This window comes from Homo sapiens, chromosome 15 (genome assembly GCF_000001405.40).
Source record: "Homo sapiens chromosome 15, GRCh38.p14 Primary Assembly".
Taxonomy (NCBI): Eukaryota; Metazoa; Chordata; class Mammalia; order Primates; family Hominidae; genus Homo; species Homo sapiens.
This window is the reverse complement of record NC_000015.10, coordinates 64146817-64164324: the sequence shown is the minus strand read 5'-3', so window position 1 is coordinate 64164324 and position 17508 is coordinate 64146817. Positions and strand designations below refer to the sequence as shown.

General features: G+C 54.2%; 2 protein-coding genes across 5 annotated transcripts, besides 15 other annotated features; one reads left to right on the top strand and one right to left on the bottom strand.

The window, feature by feature from the left end:
• Nucleotides 789-838: an enhancer, noted in NCBI's record as "active region_9565". NCBI's record gives its function as "activates an Ori minimal core promoter by ATAC-STARR-seq in GM12878 lymphoblastoid cells {active_cell/tissue: GM12878}" and the evidence as "EXISTENCE:reporter gene assay evidence [ECO:0000049][PMID:35858748]".
• Nucleotides 945-1445: an enhancer, noted in NCBI's record as "H3K27ac hESC enhancer chr15:64455079-64455579 (GRCh37/hg19 assembly coordinates)". NCBI's record gives its function as "activates a minimal SCP1, AML or CMV promoter by ChIP-STARR-seq in primed H9 embryonic stem cells {active_cell/tissue: H9 hESC(primed)}" and the evidence as "EXISTENCE:reporter gene assay evidence [ECO:0000049][PMID:30033119]".
• Nucleotides 979-1338: a silencer, noted in NCBI's record as "silent region_6530". NCBI's record gives its function as "represses an Ori minimal core promoter by ATAC-STARR-seq in GM12878 lymphoblastoid cells {active_cell/tissue: GM12878}" and the evidence as "EXISTENCE:reporter gene assay evidence [ECO:0000049][PMID:35858748]".
• On the top strand, nucleotides 1303-8508 carry PPIB (peptidylprolyl isomerase B). The gene is made up of 5 exons (NM_000942.5): nucleotides 1303-1473; nucleotides 2171-2284; nucleotides 4128-4221; nucleotides 7416-7600; nucleotides 8180-8508. The coding sequence occupies exons 1-5, from the start codon at nucleotides 1339-1341 to the stop codon at nucleotides 8300-8302; spliced, it is 651 nt and encodes a 216-aa protein (NP_000933.1). The 5' UTR covers nucleotides 1303-1338; the 3' UTR covers nucleotides 8303-8508.
• Nucleotides 1389-1638: an enhancer, noted in NCBI's record as "active region_9564". NCBI's record gives its function as "activates an Ori minimal core promoter by ATAC-STARR-seq in GM12878 lymphoblastoid cells {active_cell/tissue: GM12878}" and the evidence as "EXISTENCE:reporter gene assay evidence [ECO:0000049][PMID:35858748]".
• Nucleotides 1389-1946: a biological region, named in NCBI's record as "H3K27ac hESC enhancer GRCh37_chr15:64454578-64455078".
• Nucleotides 1446-1946: an enhancer, noted in NCBI's record as "H3K27ac hESC enhancer chr15:64454578-64455078 (GRCh37/hg19 assembly coordinates)". NCBI's record gives its function as "activates a minimal SCP1, AML or CMV promoter by ChIP-STARR-seq in primed H9 embryonic stem cells {active_cell/tissue: H9 hESC(primed)}" and the evidence as "EXISTENCE:reporter gene assay evidence [ECO:0000049][PMID:30033119]".
• Nucleotides 2180-2744: an enhancer, noted in NCBI's record as "H3K4me1 hESC enhancer chr15:64453780-64454344 (GRCh37/hg19 assembly coordinates)". NCBI's record gives its function as "activates a minimal SCP1, AML or CMV promoter by ChIP-STARR-seq in naive H9 embryonic stem cells {active_cell/tissue: H9 hESC(naive)}" and the evidence as "EXISTENCE:reporter gene assay evidence [ECO:0000049][PMID:30033119]".
• SNX22 (sorting nexin 22) lies at nucleotides 6844-12594 on the bottom strand. 4 transcript variants are annotated; one of them, NR_073534.2, is made up of 7 exons: nucleotides 12475-12594; nucleotides 11999-12082; nucleotides 11583-11687; nucleotides 10939-11080; nucleotides 10641-10673; nucleotides 10323-10390; nucleotides 6844-9938 (listed from the first exon to the last, which is right to left on the bottom strand). NR_073534.2 is itself a non-coding variant. In NM_024798.3 (7 exons), the coding sequence occupies exons 1-7, from the start codon at nucleotides 12547-12549 to the stop codon at nucleotides 9817-9819; spliced, it is 582 nt and encodes a 193-aa protein (NP_079074.2). In that variant the 5' UTR covers nucleotides 12550-12594; the 3' UTR covers nucleotides 6844-9816. The 4 variants fall into 4 exon arrangements, 3 of the variants coding, with proteins under 3 accessions (NP_079074.2, XP_016878070.1, XP_005254734.1); NM_024798.3 differs by having other exon boundaries at nucleotides 10986-11080; XM_017022581.2 differs by lacking the exon at nucleotides 11999-12082 and having other exon boundaries at nucleotides 10986-11080.
• Nucleotides 9879-10038: an enhancer, noted in NCBI's record as "active region_9563". NCBI's record gives its function as "activates an Ori minimal core promoter by ATAC-STARR-seq in GM12878 lymphoblastoid cells {active_cell/tissue: GM12878}" and the evidence as "EXISTENCE:reporter gene assay evidence [ECO:0000049][PMID:35858748]".
• Nucleotides 9879-10645: a biological region, named in NCBI's record as "H3K4me1 hESC enhancer GRCh37_chr15:64445879-64446610".
• Nucleotides 9914-10645: an enhancer, noted in NCBI's record as "H3K4me1 hESC enhancer chr15:64445879-64446610 (GRCh37/hg19 assembly coordinates)". NCBI's record gives its function as "activates a minimal SCP1, AML or CMV promoter by ChIP-STARR-seq in primed H9 embryonic stem cells {active_cell/tissue: H9 hESC(primed)}" and the evidence as "EXISTENCE:reporter gene assay evidence [ECO:0000049][PMID:30033119]".
• Nucleotides 10049-10168: an enhancer, noted in NCBI's record as "active region_9562". NCBI's record gives its function as "activates an Ori minimal core promoter by ATAC-STARR-seq in GM12878 lymphoblastoid cells {active_cell/tissue: GM12878}" and the evidence as "EXISTENCE:reporter gene assay evidence [ECO:0000049][PMID:35858748]".
• Nucleotides 10669-10898: an enhancer, noted in NCBI's record as "active region_9561". NCBI's record gives its function as "activates an Ori minimal core promoter by ATAC-STARR-seq in GM12878 lymphoblastoid cells {active_cell/tissue: GM12878}" and the evidence as "EXISTENCE:reporter gene assay evidence [ECO:0000049][PMID:35858748]".
• Nucleotides 11889-12268: a silencer, noted in NCBI's record as "silent region_6529". NCBI's record gives its function as "represses an Ori minimal core promoter by ATAC-STARR-seq in GM12878 lymphoblastoid cells {active_cell/tissue: GM12878}" and the evidence as "EXISTENCE:reporter gene assay evidence [ECO:0000049][PMID:35858748]".
• Nucleotides 12469-12908: a silencer, noted in NCBI's record as "silent region_6528". NCBI's record gives its function as "represses an Ori minimal core promoter by ATAC-STARR-seq in GM12878 lymphoblastoid cells {active_cell/tissue: GM12878}" and the evidence as "EXISTENCE:reporter gene assay evidence [ECO:0000049][PMID:35858748]".
• Nucleotides 13826-13935: an enhancer, noted in NCBI's record as "active region_9560". NCBI's record gives its function as "activates an Ori minimal core promoter by ATAC-STARR-seq in GM12878 lymphoblastoid cells {active_cell/tissue: GM12878}" and the evidence as "EXISTENCE:reporter gene assay evidence [ECO:0000049][PMID:35858748]".

Below are 17508 nucleotides of genomic sequence, written 5' to 3'. Positions count from 1 at the left end.
AATGTTTAAAACTTCCTCCTGATTGGGGTTGTCTGAATTGAGGTGCAAGGATGGGAAATAAGAGAACTGTCTTGAAGCTCTACAACCTGTGTAAGGCCGCTGTAATGAACAACAAAGTTAATGCCAGTGGCCTTGCATAACTTCAGTCTCAGGTCAGCGCCTCATGAAGACTACATTGCATAATTTATGTAAATGGAGCCCTGCCTATAATCTGTGCTGTGACGACCTGGAATTTCTACGAAGTTAATCGTTGAAAATTAGTTTTAAAGACGTTTTAACGCCATAGGTCCAAATTTTGGAAGTTTGTGTTTTGGTTTGTTTTGGTGTGTAAGACTCCCAGTACCAAAGTATCTATGTTGTAGATTGGGACAACACTAAGTGTGTGAAGACCTAAAATAGCCCTGTGGGGACATCTAGTAACTATTCCTGACCTCCGGAAAAAGGCATTGTATCCTCAGGCCGTGGCATAAATTATTTCTCATGTCAGTGCGGATGTGAAGCTATCCCAACCAGGACTTGTTGGGCACTCAGTACTGCCGCGCTGTGAGGGAGCTGTGGACAGAGTAAATGCAACACAGTCCCTTCCGCAGAAAAAAAAAAAAATGTAGTCTATTGGGGGAAAAGGTAAAGGAAGTTAAGAACAGCGTATACAATAAGATGTCCATTGATATACACAACAGTAAGCACAGCAAGATTACAGAAGGGAGAGAAAAATGGGTAGTAACTTGACGGCCTCAGTAAAAAAGGAAGTGGGTTGTGCAGCAAGTTTTGCAAGACAAGTGGAGGAGCCGTACAAGGCCACGCTCGGTAAGGATAAATGTCCCTGAAGTGTTTGGAAGCCACAACGTTTAGAGCCAATTTGGCGGTGACAAACACTTGACTGGCCCAAAACAGTGACAAGCTTCCCGTGCCCCTTGTCCAGGCCCACGTATTTGCTAACCTCAAGCGCCAGCTACCGCAGGCCAGTGGAACAGCGCTCCGGGCGGGGCGGGCCGCGGAGCATGCCGGGGCTTGTGGTCTTCTCGGAGCCCGGGCCCGTGCTCTGCGAGGCCGCCTTCCGCCGGTGGCCTTCCTGTGGGCGGGAGAGGGCGGCCGGGAGCCCAATGAGGGAGCAATAACGTGGCAACCACCCACGAGCCCGCGTCGGTGCCCGCCCCGCAGGGGGACCTACTATCCGGCGCCGAGCCGGAGGGGGGAAACGGCGCCCGCCGCCCGCCCGGAGCCCGCGAGCAACCCCAGTCCCCCCCACCCGCGCGTGGCGGCGCCGGCTCCCTAGCCACCGCGGCCCCACCCTCTTCCGGCCTCAGCTGTCCGGGCTGCTTTCGCCTCCGCCTGTGGATGCTGCGCCTCTCCGAACGCAACATGAAGGTGCTCCTTGCCGCCGCCCTCATCGCGGGGTCCGTCTTCTTCCTGCTGCTGCCGGGACCTTCTGCGGCCGATGAGAAGAAGAAGGGGCCCAAAGTCACCGTCAAGGTCCGGTGGAGTCCGCGGCATTTACGGTGCCGGAGCTCGGGCCCGGGCGGCCTTGGCTTGGCCTTGGCTCAGCCCCTCCTCCCTCGGCTTCTGTCTGTGGCCTCGTGGCGTCTGGGCCGTCCTGCCCATTCAGTCCAGGGAACGACCCGGACCCACCCCGACACCCCCAGCCCCTGCCCTGACCCAGGGAGTTAGTTGGATCCCCGGATACCCATCTGGGGCCGACACTGGCAGTCTCAGAGCAGGCTTTTTGCAAACACCCCTCAGTGCTGGGGAGATGGTGAAAGATCACGCCTGCCGGATTCCGAATCCTTTCTCTCCTTAAGCCAAATTTTAGCCACTTCCAATTACAAAGCACAGTATGTATACTTCAAACTTAAGTGGTGAACTTAGGCTCCGCTCCTTATGGGTTTTCTAATGTTAATTTTTAGAATCTGGGTCCATTAGCTGTTTAGAGCAAATATTGTTATCCTGTAGTCCAAGGAGGGTATAGATAAGCATGTTTTCCAAGAAAAGGGTCTGGAGCTTTCATTAGATTCTCATAGGATTTTTACCGTCACCAAAATCAGATTCAGAACCACTTCTCTAAAAATATGGCTCTATTCTCTCTCCCATCCTCAGGTTAGCTTCTTGTACCTTCCCTCCCCTAGCAACGCCCCTTTAAAGAAGCTAAGTTGGAAATGGTCTCTTTCCTCAGGTGTATTTTGACCTACGAATTGGAGATGAAGATGTAGGCCGGGTGATCTTTGGTCTCTTCGGAAAGACTGTTCCAAAAACAGTGGATAATTTTGTGGCCTTAGCTACAGGAGAGGTAAGTGGCTGGAGCAGGGGTAGTCAACTCACATGAAGTGAAATTGGCACTGGGGATGGCAGCAAACTGACCTGCAGAGTTCAGCCGATCTGTAGCGTGGACCTCACTGAGCACCGACTGCCTGTTGCCCTGGGAACACAGTATTGCCCTTTCTTAAGAGTAATGGGGCCCTGACCAGGCACAGTGGCTCACACTTAAAATCCCAGCACTTTTGGAGGCCAAAGTAGGAGGATTGCTTGAGCCCAGGAGTTCAAGGCCAACCTGAGCAACATAGCAAGACCCTGTCTCTACCCCCGCAAATTTTTTTTTTTTTTTGAGACGGAGTTTCACTCTTGTCGCCTGGGCTGGAGTGCAGTGGTGCGGCCTCAGCTCACTGCAACCTCCGCCTCCCGGGTTTAAGTGATTCTCCTGCCTCAGCCTCCTGAGTAGCTGGGATTACAGGCATGCGCCACCACGCTTGGCTAATTTTGTATTTTTAGTAGTGACAGGGTTTCACCATGTTGGCCAGGCTGAACTCGAACTCCTGACCTCTGGTGATCCGCCTGCCTTGGCCTCCCAAAGTGCTGGGATTAGAGGTGTGAGCCACTATGCCCGGCCAAAAAAAATTTTTTTTAATTAGCTGGGTGTGACGGGGTGCACCTGTGGTCCCAGCTACAGCTACTCAGGAGGCTGAAGTGAAATGGAGGTTGCAGTGAGCCATGTTCATGCCACTGCACTCCAGCCTGAGCAATAGAGTGAGACCCTGTCTCAAAAAAAAAATAAATTAATTAAAAATAAAAGGCCGGGCGCAGTAACTCATGCCTGTAGTCCCAGCACTTTGGGAGGCTGAGGCGGGTAGATCACCTGAGGTCAGGAGTTCGAGACCAGCCTGGCCAACATGGCGAAATCCTGTCTCTACTAAAAATACAAAAAATTAGCCAGGTGTAGTGGTAGGCGCCTGTAATTCCAGCTACTTGGGAGGCTGAGGCAGGAGAATTTGTTGAACCCAGGAGGTGGAGGTTGCAGTGAGCCGAGATTGCCCCACTGCACTCTAGCCTGGGCAACAAGAGGGAAACTCCATCTCAAAAATAAAAATAAAAAATAAAAAAACAGGCTGGGCATGGTGGCTCACACCTGTAATCCCAGCACTTTGGGAGGCGGAGGAGGGCAGATCATGTGAGTTTAGGAGTTTGAGAGCAGCCTGGGCACCATGGTGAAACCCCATCTCTACTAAAAATACAGAAATCAGCTGGGCATTGTGGTGGCACATGCCTGTAATCCCAGCTACTCAGGAGGCTGAGGCTGGAGAATCGCTTGAACCTGGGAGGTGGAGGCTGCAGTGAGCGGAGATTGTGCCATTGCACTCCAGCCTGGGTGACAAGAGAGAAACTCTGTCTCAAAAAAATAATAATAAAATTTAAAAAATGAGATAAAAAAGAGTAAGGGGTCCAGAGCTTCCTGGGGAGACTTCACCTAGGGTGAGGGCAGTGGGTTTTAAGGAAACAACAGTGCCCTATTTCAGTTTATATTAACTTTCCATTGAGCCAGCAGGTGACCTTTCTTCTCAGTTTTCTTGTATCTGTTCTTATGATTGGAAGAAATGAGGGGAAAAGCATTATGTGATGTAGAATTGTATAAAGCTTGGGAATTGTATGGAGGCAGAGGGATTTCCACATCTGTGTGTACCATGCCTGTCCTGTGGCGCCTGCCCGCTCACTTAGTAGCACACTGAACAGTGAAAGTGGTCAGCAGTGGTGTCTCTTCTGCGAGCAGGAGTTGTGGACTTGTTCCTGTGAGGCCTATTTAATGTAATGTCTTCCTGCTGCCCCATACCACCTCCTTACCTTCTCTTCCCTTTTTCTAGAAAGGATTTGGCTACAAAAACAGCAAATTCCATCGTGTAATCAAGGACTTCATGATCCAGGGCGGAGACTTCACCAGGGGAGATGGCACAGGAGGTAACCACAGGTCCTCTGGGCCAAGGAGTATGTCAGTGTAGCCTCCACAGTGGGAGGGCCAGGTTCTGCTGGGGAGACCAGGCCTCTTTCTTCCCCAGCTCTAGAGGCAGGCCTACTTATTACTTACCTACTTTGAGACCAGCGGCACCCTTCTTTGAAGAGGGAACCCAGTACAAAGGAGAGAGAATAATGGGGTGGACCTGATGGTAGATCTAAGAGAATCTCTCCCAGGTGACCGTCCTGCTGATCCAGGCCTATAGCCTGGTGACCTTTCCTGATACCTCTTCAGAATGGGGATTGGGGAGAGAGGCGTGTGGAAGCAAAGTGAAGACATGTGGGTACGCGATTCTAGGTCAGATGCCCAAAGCCTGTCCAGGCTACCCTGGAAGCCCCAGCAAGAGTGAGAGGGCCAGGCGTGGTGACTCTGTGATCCCAGCACTTTGGAAGGCCAAGGTGGCTGGATCACTTGAGGCCAGGAGTTCAAGACCAGCCTGGCCAACATGTTGAAACCCCATCTCTACTAAAAATACAAAAGATTAGCCGGGCGTGGTGGCACGCGCCTATAATCCCAGTTACTTGGGAGGCTGAGGCAGGAGAATTGCTTGAACCTGGGAGGCGGAGGTTGCAGTGAGCCGAAATCACGCCACTGCACTCCAGCCTGGGCGACAGAGCGAGACTCCATCTCAAAAAAATAAAAAAAAGAGTGGGAGCAGTTACTTTCCTTGACAGTCTTTCACCAGAGACCACTCTGTGAGGGCCGACCCTCACCTTGGCATTAACTTGCACACATAGGACAGAAAGACCCCCGGACGCCTGCATGAGTCTCACTGAGCTCAGGTACAGCCTGCTGCTCCCTTAGAACACAGCTCACTCCTCGATGAGTGTCTATGGGGCTCTGTGGTGGGGGTTGAGGATGTGAAGACCCATGGGGCAGTGGCTCCCTTTTACTTCCAACAACTGAAAATGTACAAGTGAGCCATGATGCAGCGTTTAGGACTCAGGCTCACAAAGGAGACCAAAGAACTGTATTTGTGGAGTCAGACGCAGTTGGGCTCGATCCAGTGTCTGCCACCTTCTTGTTTTGTGACCTCAGGCAAGTGAGTCCTTGGAGCTTCAGTTTCCTGTTCTGTACAGTGAGGGTGGAGAGAGTTGTGGGGCCATGAGGATTGGGCTAGATCTGGAGTGTGAAGTGCCTGGCATGCAGTGAGTGCTTAGTAAGTCAGCCATTGTTGAAGTGCTGACAAGCAGAGGGATCCCCTCAGGCCAGGGAACGGGGGAATGACCTTGCGGATGTGAGGAAAGATTTCAGTGGGGTCCTCAATGAGGAGAATTTGAACGGGCAGAAAAGAGGCAGGGTTAGGGCATGAGCCCGGTGCTGTTCTGTGGCAGGAGCTTGGCCAAAGGTGGGGTGAGGACATCTGTACCCGGAGTGCAGAGAGGTGGGTGATGTCCTGCAGCCTGGGCTTCGGCCTGCAGGGAGTCAGGGCCACAGAGCTGAGTAAGAGGATGACCCCTCACTTGGGGTGCCAGGGGAGTCATGTGGTGGCAGATCCAGGATGTGGAGGCTAGGGCAGGCAGGCTGCTGGGGGCATTGGTGCCACTGACCCTGGGCAGGGAGATTTGGACCTGATCCTGAGGTGGCTGAGAGCAGAGATTCGAGAGCAGACCACCTTGGTCTGAACTCTAGCCCCGCTGTTGCTCTGCTGGGGCTCCTTTTATTCTCTGTGCCTCAGTTTCTTCATCTTTGAAGTGGAGTTAGCTCCTCCTCATAGAGTGGATTGTTAAATATGTAAGATGCTTGGAACAGTCTCTGGCTCACACTATGAGCACCCTAAGCACTCGCCTACTGCAGCGGTGGTGGTGGGAATGGAAAGAAAGAGTAAGTACATGGGGAGTGGGTAGGGACAACCTGAGCCACGTGCAGAGGAAAAGGGGTCAAAAGAATAACTGAGGTCTGGAGAGAAAGATGACAAGGTATGTTGAGTTTAAATAGAAATGTCCATTTGAGTTTGGAACCCCTGTATCTTGAGAGAGTGGCTGGAGCTAAGGATGGAGATTTGGGGGTTTTCTGGATAACAACTATAATCAAAATCCCACAGTTGGCTCAAATGGGGGAGGCTTTTAGCCAGCACTCCAGCCAGGTCTCACTGCACATGTGGCAGAGTCCAGTCTCCCCAGCGTGGGGGTGAGAGGTGGAGCACAGGCAGAAGCACCCTGTCCCCACCAGCCAGAGTCTGGTCATTCTTGGTTTTCAGTCATCCTACCTGCTGCCCAATCAGAAACATCTTCCTGGTTGGCATCTGTCTAGGACAGTTTCCCAGCTCAGTTCCATTCTGTGGAACCACAGGATGAAGGTAGGTGCAGTGAGAAGGAAAAAAGAGTTTTGCATGCAAATATGTTTGAAAGGTGTTAGATAAAACAAAATGAAAATGACCCCATTTTTGGCTGAGTTTCTTGGGGCCTCATGCACAGTGTCAGTCTCCAAGGGGTGATAGGGAAAAAGAAGGGTTTCGGTGTTCCTCGTGGAAGCAGCTTTGGAACTAGGATCTCTGAAATGGCATAGAGATCACTCCGGATTGCCCTTACCATATCCCCAAGCCCCACGTGGACAGACGCGTCACACACACTCACAGCTGTCTTTTATTCCTGTTCATTCCTTGTTAAGAGGCTTTGACTCTCCAGAATCCAAGGGGCAGCCCCTCTTTTCTGCCCCTCCCCACACATCTCTGGCTGCTTTCTCCTCTGCAGCTATGCCTGTGTCTTTTGTGCTCATAGGAAAACAGGCTGGTCAGCCACAGCAGTCCTCCTTTTCTGGAGAGTTCCGACCCTGTTGACTCCCCTGCATCCTGCACGGCACTTCCCTCCACCAAAGTCCCTCCGTGGCAGGCCTGGGCCATAGCTAAGGGGAGCTGATAACATGCGCCTTATTTAAAAGCCACAAAACTATCTTCTCAAAGTAATCCTTCTGTGAGCTGTTCACCACATCAGCCTGGCCTGATGCCCCACTTGGCCTCAGTCAGCATGGCTTGGCTCTGAGGCCAGAAGATAGGAAGGACGCTGCTTTTATGTCCTTGTAGTCCACTCCAGCCTAGCCTGGCACAGAGGACAGGTTAAGCCCCCTCAGTCCTGGCCCCGAATGTCTGCTTGGTTTGGCGCAATCCAGCGCCCCTGACCTGCTCTGTCTTTTTTCCCAGGAAAGAGCATCTACGGTGAGCGCTTCCCCGATGAGAACTTCAAACTGAAGCACTACGGGCCTGGCTGGGTGAGCATGGCCAACGCAGGCAAAGACACCAACGGCTCCCAGTTCTTCATCACGACAGTCAAGACAGCCTGGCTAGATGGCAAGCATGTGGTGTTTGGCAAAGTTCTAGAGGGCATGGTGAGTTGTGGAAGCAAGGGCTACTACTGGGCAATCCTCACCGGGGATTCAACACAGACCCCAGGGCAGGAGCTCCATGTGTCCATCCCTTTCCCAAAAGGACCCAACCCACAGATGCAGCCCAGTGCTCCTGTCCAGAATAAACCCTGTACCTCCATGCCTCCAAGGTTCTAAATTCTTCCAGCCCCCTCAGAGCCCAGCCAGGAAGGCTGCACAACTGCCAGAGCCTCCCTCCCCTCCTTCACTCAGTGACGTGCTGGTCCCACCCCTGAGGTATACAGAGTGCAGCTGAACGCAATGTCCCTGAGAAGCCACATGCCCTGGTCACCCTCTTCCTCCTCCTCACCCTTGGCCCAACCTGGGTCTTACTTCAAAGGAACAAAATTCCTGTACCCCCTCGTCAAATCTGCATTCTCCCTGCTCTGGCCAGGAGTCTGTTAGAATTTTGGTGCCTCCAGTTTTGTGTGCTGTTGATCACTTGTGGGTCTTAGCCCTCCTGAGCCATACGCTGGGGCCTTTCTCCTGAGCGGTGGACCTCCTGATCCACCATGCCCTCCTGCTTCCACCTTTCTTTTCCAGGAGGTGGTGCGGAAGGTGGAGAGCACCAAGACAGACAGCCGGGATAAACCCCTGAAGGATGTGATCATCGCAGACTGCGGCAAGATCGAGGTGGAGAAGCCCTTTGCCATCGCCAAGGAGTAGGGCACAGGGACATCTTTCTTTGAGTGACCGTCTGTGCAGGCCCTGTAGTCCGCCACAGGGCTCTGAGCTGCACTGGCCCCGGTGCTGGCATCTGGTGGAGCGGACCCACTCCCCTCACATTCCACAGGCCCATGGACTCACTTTTGTAACAAACTCCTACCAACACTGACCAATAAAAAAAAATGTGGGTTTTTTTTTTTTTAATATATAATGTGTGGGCCTGGTTCTTGAGCCTGCAGCACCTCCCCTAGGCCTACATCCCAACATGCCTGCAACTCTCCTGTGGCAATGGGTGCCTGCCCCTTCCCTGGGATCCTGCCTGAAATTTTGACCCAGGAGCTACCCAGGAAAAGTCAGGCAGGAGCTTTTGCCCCCTGCTTCTAAACTTTGCCAGCTACTGGGCCTCCACATTTGCTCCCCTTGCCACCACCCTCCAGTCTATGTTAAGGGATGTATCTGTACTTTTTCATAGCCTACCTCTAAATTGATTTTTTTTTTTTTTTTTTTTTTTTGGTAGAGACAGGTCTCACTATGTTGCGCTGGCTGGTCTCAAACTTCCAGACCCAAGCATCCTCCTGCCTTGGCCTCCTAAAGTATTGGGATTACAGGCATGAGCCTCTGCACCCAGCTGACTTCTTCCTTTATTATTTATTTATTTTGAGACGGAGTTTCACTCTTGTTGCCCAGGCTGGAGTGCAGTGGCGCGATCTCGGCTCACCACAACTTCCGCCTCCTGGCTTCAAGAGATTCTCCTGCCTTGGGCCGAGCACGGTGGCTCACGCCCGTAATCCCAGCACTTTGGGAAGCCGAGGCGGGTGGATCACCTGACGTCAGGAGTACAAGACCAGCCTGGCCAACGTGGTGAAACCCATCTCTATTAAAAATACAAAAATTAGCCGGGCATGGTGGCGGATGCCTGTAATCCCAGCTACTCGAGAGGCTGAGGCAGGAGAATTGCTTGAACCCGGGAAGCGGGGGTTGCCGTGAGCCGAGATCGTGCCATTGCATTCCAGCCTGGGCAACAAGAGTGAAACTCCGTCTCAAAAAAAAAAAAAAAAAAAAAAAAGAGATTCTCCTACCTCAGCTTCCCGAGTAGCTGGGATTACAGGCATGCACCACCACAATGCCCGGCTAATTTTGTATTTTTAGTAGAGACGGGGTTTCTCCATGGTGGTCAGGCTGGTCTCGAACTCCTGACTTCAGGTGATCCACCCATCTTGGCCTCCCAAAGTGCTGGGATTACAGGCATGAGCCACCGCGCCTGGCTGACTTCCTCTTTTATTACTTATCTTCTTGACCCTGCCTTGGCTGTTGGGCTCTAAGAGCATACAAATTCTACCACCTCCAGCTACCAATGCGAGCCAAGTTCTGAGCCTTGAGTGGGAATGTGGCACAACTGGGCACTGGGTAATTAAGTCCTGGGTCCAGGCCAAAGGAGGACCCAGCCTTATATGGAGTTCATAGGACAGAGGCACATGACTTTCTTAGGAGGCAGCCAAAGGCCTCTGGACTGATCAGGGCATCGGTGGCAGAGGAGCAGGGTGACAGGCCGCCTTTGGCTGGGCTTTATCTGGGCTGATGCTGAAGCTGTAGAGGCCCTGGAGCACACCATTCACCACCACGTTGGGCAGCGACTCTGTGGGATAGAATTAAACAGGTCTGGCCTCAGACCTGCAGCTCCTTGAGCTCCTGCTCATGGGCTCAGCCCCCACTTGGGAGTAGGAGCCCCTGCCAAGGCAGCAGACAGCAGCTGTCCACCCCAAATGAAGCCTCCGCATTCCCAGGTCACATTCTTTTCACATCAGCTTGGTAAAGAAGTCAGGCTGCTGAAGAAATGGAGACCAGGGAAGCCAAACTTGTTTTCCTTGTGTCTACAAAGCAGGCTCCAGGGGACAGGAGCAGGAGGTAGTGGCTCCAGAGGTGGGCAGCAGGAAGGAGATGCTGTCTGAGGGTCCCAGGAGCCGAGAAATGCAAAGCCCACAACCCAGCCCTGTAGCCCCATATCTAGGCACCTCCTCACCTGGGGAGGGGTTGCAAACATAGGGATCCACATGGAAGCTCAGGACAGGCCGCTGGTGCTGCTGGGAGCTGGGAGGAAACAGGGTCATGAACCATGGGTGCGGGAGGCAGGGCAGAATCCCACAGAGGGGTGGAGACGGGGTTGCCATCACCAGGGACCCATGAAGGAAAAGGTGAGTGGGAAATGGGCTCAGGAGGCACCAAAGGGAAAACAGACTTCAGGGCCCAGGCCAGACAGGCCCAGGCAGCAGGCCTGCCTCCTAGCATATGGCCACTAGGGGGCAGCAGGGGCCAAGCGCGGGCTAGGGCTTTGACTTGCCTGCTGTCGCCAGGCAGGAACTCCCTCAGGGTGCTGAAGAGAAGAGAAACACTGTAAGCTGCCTGGGGATGCCGGGGGAGCGTGAGGAAGGGGTGGAGACACCAGAGCCCAGAACTGCACCTCCCAGGGGACCACTGCTTCTATTTGTAACAAGCCCCAGTTCCGGAGGTGGCGGGGGTAACCAAGTCTGTCCAAAAAAAAGCCCCTCCACCCAGGTCAAGAGAGCTGGTGAGGGCGGTCATGCTGGATCCTGGCAGATGTGAAAAGAAAGGGCTTGCCCTCCAACACCTTTCCTCACCTGCTCACTGCTGACAGCCCCTGGCCCCCGCCATCGGCCCCCCTTACCCCCAGTTGCTAGCCTTGGGGTCTGTGGGGAAGTGCCGAAGTCTCAGGAATTCCAGTAACTCCTTGGGCACCTCCTGGTTCAGGTACAGGATGCCCTGGAGAGGACAGAGGAGACCTGCAATCAGACCCAGCTACTAATTTGCATAGCGCAGTGCCAGTGAAAATGCAGGGCTCTTTGTTCCAAAAAAAGAATTTCACGACAATGACAGCAGAGCGTTGAACCAGGCTCAGGGCCCTTCTGGGCGCTGGGCGCTGTGTGCACAGGTTGTACCCCATGACGCGGCATAGCTTTGCTGTTGGGGGAAGGACCCTCACCCTACATGCCATCAGGAGGGCAGCACAGGACCTCACCATGGAGGGGACAGGACCTGGGTTTCATGGAGCTGGGACTACCTGTGTCCGTTACCTCTTTCAGTCCTTTCAACAAGCCAGAGGGGGGTGTTTGGACCTATATTAGACTCAGAAAATTGATGCTTGAGGTGGTGAATAACATCCCCAAGTTGTGGGTTCCCTCCCTGCCATGCCCCCACACCTCTCTGTCTGGGCCACACCCCTGGCACAGAAGGCCGGGGGGCAACCAACTGTGCTCTCGCATACCTGGATGTAAGCCTCCAAGCCCTGCCGGCGCTGTTCCAACCCTCTGGTCCTCCAGTTGGGCAGGCGTTTCGAGGGGAAGTCGGGCACTTTGTACAGCTTCTTGATCTACTGGAGGTTTACCGCGTGCGATCACAGCATCCCGACTGAGCCCTCAAGCCCTCTTCGCCCCAGCCAGAAGCCCTCCCGCGCCCCCGCCTTCGGGCTCTACTGGGACAGACCCTGGTGAGTGGTGGACCGGCCGAGGGCGAGGAAGGCCCCAACCCACCCACAGAGGCCCGGGGGCTGACCGGCTGCGCAGGGACTGAGGCAGTAATGGGGGTGGCGGAGGCTGGGGCTCGCCCGCCCGCCTCACAGGGCCTGGGCGGGGGCTGGACAGAGGCTGGGCCGGGGCCGGTGGGAGGTCGGCGCCGCCTCACCCGCTTGTGCAGCGCGTGGAACTCGCTGTAGCGCCTTGGCACCGTGTGTCTGCGCCCGCTGCACAGCACCTCCACTCGGAACACCTGGCGGCGCGGGCGGGCAGCGGGTCTGCGCGTGAGGCCCCGCGGGAGGACGCCGCAGCACCTGCGCCTGGCGACGTGCCCACCCTCCCGCTCTCAAAGGCACAAAGCGGCCTTGCGGCGCCGCGGCTGCCCGGGGACTCTCCGCTCCCGCACACCTGGGAGAACCGGCTGGCGGACCTGCCCCTCGGAGCCCTGGGGTCCCTCAAGAGCTCGAACCATGGTCCGCGAGGCTGGCAAATCCAAGCGGCCCCCAAACCCTCGACAAGGTTTCCCCCGACGGTCCAGCCCGCAGCGCTCGTTCACCCAGGCCCGGGCCCCGGGTCCCCACTGAGCGCAGCGCGGGGAAATCCTGCGGGTCCCGGCGCCCCTCCCCATCCAGGGGCCGCGCTCACCATGTGGCTTTTCTCCGGGCTCTGCCTGGGCCCCTCGGCCTCGGGCCCCACCGACGGGATGTGAACTTCCAGCATCCGCGCCCCGGCCCCAGCTGCTCCGCGCGCTCGGCTCGGAGCCCTAACTCTCCCGGAGCGGACTGAGGACCCCGGGGCGGCCGGCTCCGCCCCCTCGGTCCGCAGGCCCCACCCCAGGCCCCGCCCCCAGGCGACCCCGCCCCGGGCGTTCCCTTGCGCCGCGGGTCCTGAGCCTAGAAGATTAGGCGGGACCTGGACGCCGCCCCCGAAGTCTAGTGCGCCCACAGCGCGGGGCAGTGGAGTCAACCGTTTGTCAAACATTGACGGAGCACTCACTGATGCCAGGAACTGGCGAGCGAAAATGTCACCCAACCTGAGTTAAGCGCCTACCAAGGACGGCCTGTGGCTCCAGGCGCGGACGGAGGCGGGGCCCGGGCCTCAGCGCCGGTCCTGGGGCCAACCAGGGACCTGTCTTGGGTTCCTCAGTCCCTTCCCGAGCCTTTCCCTCCTTTCAGCCTGGTCCCTGAAATTGTGATCTGGATTCCCCGGCTGAGGCCACACCTGAGCAAGGCTTGGACCCAGTCCAGCTTTGATGCCCCTTTCCCCAGCATCCACAGGCCCCCCCATTCATTCATTGTTTTCATCCATCCATTCACTCATATCTTCCAACCCTAAGGGGCTCCAGGCTGTTTGTGGGGAAGAGGCAGTTTAGGGACCTAGACTCCGATTTGGACGTCAGACTGCCTGGATTTCAGGAGCTCCGTAGACCTTTGCTCATCTGCAAAATAGGGATAACGTGGCTCCTTCAGGCAAGTGTATAAAGTGAGATGATTTGGCCGGGCGCGGTGGCTCACGCCTGTAATCCCAGCACTTTGGGAGGCCGAGGTAGGCGGATCACCTGAGGTCAGGAGTTCGAGACCAGCCTGACCAACATGGTGAAACCCCGTACCTACTAAAAATACAAAAATCAACCAGGTGTGGTGGCACATGCCTGTAATCCCAGCTACTCAGGAGGCTGAGGCGGGAGAATCACTTGAACCTGAGAGGCGGAGGTTGCAGTGAGCCGAGATCAAACCATTGCACTCCAGACTGGGCAACAGCAAGACTCTGTCTTAAAAAAAAAAAAAAGTGAGATGATTCATGTTAGGCCCTTAACAGAAGCATTGAGCAGCAGCTTGACTGTGGGCTTCTCCTGGATGACTAGGATAAGTGGGCACAGGGCAGTGGATGGGAAGAGAGACTTTGGGGGGTGGCACCGGGTTGCTCTTGTCCACCCCTCCGGGCAGGTTCTTCCTGGATATGTGGCAGGATTTTGATCCAGAACTCTCTCAGGCCATGTGCTGGAAAGGACCTCTGCTCCCACCTCTCAGCCCTGCACCCTTCAGCTGTCGGAGAGCTGCTATCAGCAGCACCATGGCAGGTCCTCTACTCCACTGACTTCCCCCACAAAGGCCCCGTGACATGCAGAGAGGCGAGGCCCTGCCTTCCAAAGCTCATACGTAGTGGGAGGTCTTGGGGTGGGCAGGAGGAAGCAGAGTGCCTGTCTTCGGGGCTGGGGTTGAGGGGACTCACCCCTCCCCTGCTTCTGCAGAGACGCCTCTGAGCTGGAGCAAAAAACCTCCATCCCCAGCCCTGCCCCCAGAGAAGGGCTGAGATGACGACCCCAAAATGGGGCAAACAGGTCTCACCAATATCATGTCCCACATTCTCTTTTTCCAAATTGCATCACACAAGGACCACAGAATCAGGAAGCTGAAACTTCCCAGATTCTAGTGGGGTCCCCTAGAAGAAAAGCAGCCCAGAGTGAGGAGAAGTGCTGTGCTTTCATTTCCTCCCTACGGCCCCATCATTCAGGGACCCAGCTTTCCCTGGCCTACAGGGCCTCCCCAACTCCCACTGTCCAGGGAGGCCTCTCCTGGGATCCTCAGACTTCTTGGTCCTCATCCTAATGACTGTCTGCCCCTCTGTCTGTGAGTCTCCATTTTTTCCTGCCTTCATCCCCAATAGAACGTCCATTCTCTACCCTGCAGCACAAACTGTTATCAAGGCATGTGCTTAAAACCTTCCAATGTTTCCCACTGCACTTAGAATAAAACCCACTCTCTCTATGCAATCCACAAAGCTGTAAACAACCCAGCCCAGCCTCCATCTTCCACCTCATTTCCTCTCCTCTCCCCATCATGCACTAGGCTCTTCCAACCTGACAAGCTCTTTCCTGCCTCAGGGCCTTTGCATTAGGCTGTTTGCTCCACCTGGGGGCACCCTTCCTTGACTCTTCAAGGATTGAGCTCATCCTCCAATTCTTAGCCTAAAACTCAACTCAAAAAGGTTTTTTTTTGTTTGTTTGTTTTTGTTTTTGTTTTTTTTTTTGAGACAGGGCCTCACTCCAGTCACCCAGGCTGGAGTGCAGTGACGCAACCACAGGGCTCACTGCAGCTTAGGTGATTTTCCCACCTCAGCCTCCTGAGTAACTGGGACTACAGGTGCGCACCACCACACCCAGCTAATTTTTGTATTTTTTGTAGAGACGGAGTTTGGCCATGTTGGCCAGGCTGGTCTCGAACTCCTGGGCTAAAGCTATGCACCCACCTTGACCTCCCAAAGTGCTGGGATAACAGGCGTGAGCCACCTCACCCAGCTGAGGCTTCCTTCTTGACCACCCTATCATATGACCTTTTCTATGCACATATTACAGTCTGCAATTATTGTTTGGTTACTGTGTGTCTCAAAAACATTTGGGTTGAAAGACTATATGGATAATATTTGTGATTGAAAGACTATATGAATGAATGGGCAGTGGGGGTATGCTGAGAAAAAACTAGGGAGGGGAAGGAGCAGCGTCTGCTGAAGGGTTAGAGGCTGCCTGCATGGTGGGACAACAAGAATCTTCTTCCTACCTCCAGAATTAAACACACTTCTCCTCTCTTCTCTCTTGGCAGATCATTGTCTACTTTTTCCATTTACTTAATTTTCAGGTGTTCCAGGAAGCCTCAGATCAGTGGATTTTCATCACCAGTTGTGGAAAGAGATTCCATGCAACTGACTTGTCAAACATGTGATAGGGAACCTGCAGCTCCTAATTGCACAGTGTTCCACCGCACAAGAGTGCAGGTACAAAAGAAGAAAAACGAGATCCTTGACACAGAGGCATTTAAGATGTCTTTGGGGAGATAAAACAGGTATGGAGAATATTTTCTAATTTTTTAAAATCAATTATGTATTAATTTATTGAGACAGGGTCTCACTCGTTTGCTGAGACTGGAGTGCAGTGGCACAATCATGGCTCACTACAGCCTTGACATGCCAGACTCAAGCGCTCAGCCTCCCAAGTAGCTGAGACTACAGGTATGCATTATTAAGCCCGGCTAATTTTTGTTTTGTTTTGTTTCATAGAGACAGGGTCTCACTATGCTGCCCAAGCTGGTCTCCAGCTCCTGGGCTCAACTGATCCTCCTGCCTCGGCCTCCCAAACTGCTGGGATTATAGGTGTGAGCCACAGTGCCCGGCCAAGTATTTTCCTATAAAGAGGAACGCATGACATGATGTAAATACCATAGCAGTTATTACAATCAAAGAAAGTTTGCTTTCTGTACGCCTTCAGTGCTGGCCAGCTCAGCATATGAACACCACGTTCCAGACTCTATATGATGGGTGTGCAGACCTCAAAGTAACTTGTTTTTAGAATGAGCTGTTTTATGATACAAGCTTTTGTCTTTTCTCCACCACGATCTAGCACATGGATTGTATTTCAATACTAGATTATAGTAGTTCTCAGACTTTAGCAATCATCACCACCACCTGTAGGGCTGTGAAATCTCACATTTGAGTGCCCTGGCCCTGGATTTTCTTTTTTTTTTTGAGACGGAGTCTGGCTCTGTCGCCCAGGCTGGAGTGCAGTGGCGTGATCTCGGCTCACTGCAAGCTCCGCCTCCCGGGTTCACGCCATTCTCCTGCCTCAGCCTCCCGAGTAGCTGGGACTACAGGTGCCCTCCACCACGCCCGGCTAATTTTTTGTATTTTTAGTAGAGGCGGGGTTTCACCGTGTTAGCCAGGATGGTCTCGATCTCCTGACCTCGTGATCCGCCCGCCTCGGCCTCCCAAAGTGCTGGGATTACAGGCGTGAGCCACCATGCCCGGCCGCCCTGGCCCTGGATTTTCTAATTGCTGGGCTGGGGTGGAGCCTGAAGCGGTCATCTTCAACAAGCTCCCTGGTGGTCCTGAAGCTCCTGGTTGGAGATCACACTAAGCAAGCACCGGTCTCCTGATTACCGCAGCAGCCCCGCCGGGGGCCTGGCTCCACTCGCTCCTCTATGCAGGCATAGAGCCGGCAGTTTGCCACTTGGAAATAGAACCAAGGAGCAGAGGGCAGGAAGGGCTGGGGAGTGAAGATGTACCCCGACTCGCCCCATTCCTGCGCACGGGTAGGCTGGCCCACAGACCCTGCCTTAGCTCAGGCCCTGGCTTCCATTGCAGTCACACAAAGCCCCCTTTCACCGGCAAGGCTTCTGCTGCGCCACAAAGGCTGCTCAGGAGGTTTGGTCAACCTCGTTAAGAAAACAAACAGCCCCTGGGCCACGAGCTTGTGGGCGCCACGGGGCACAGAGGCTGGATTCTTTTCTGGGCCCGGGCTGGGCGGGCGGCAGCGGAGGGGTGGACTGGCCAGGAGGGGCCCAGCCACTGGGGGCTGTCTGAGCCATGGTGAACCTTGCCTGCGCCACCCCAGCCCAGCTCTGGTCACCGGCATCACCTTGGACAACCCCCCTGAGGCTCAGGGTCCTTATCTGTCCTTATCTCAGGGTCCTCACACAACAGAGAGTGGTGTGTGGATTAAATGACTGCAGCTTCCACAGTGTTTGGCATGGGGCCCAGCACACAGCAGAGAGATGTTAGCTATTATTGACTGAATTATGTGAATTTGCCGTTTTCGTAGGCAAAAAACGGCAAGGTCTTACCAATGACATGGTTCATCCTGATGGATACTGACTCATTGACAACAAAAGCAGATTCTATTTCTTCCGT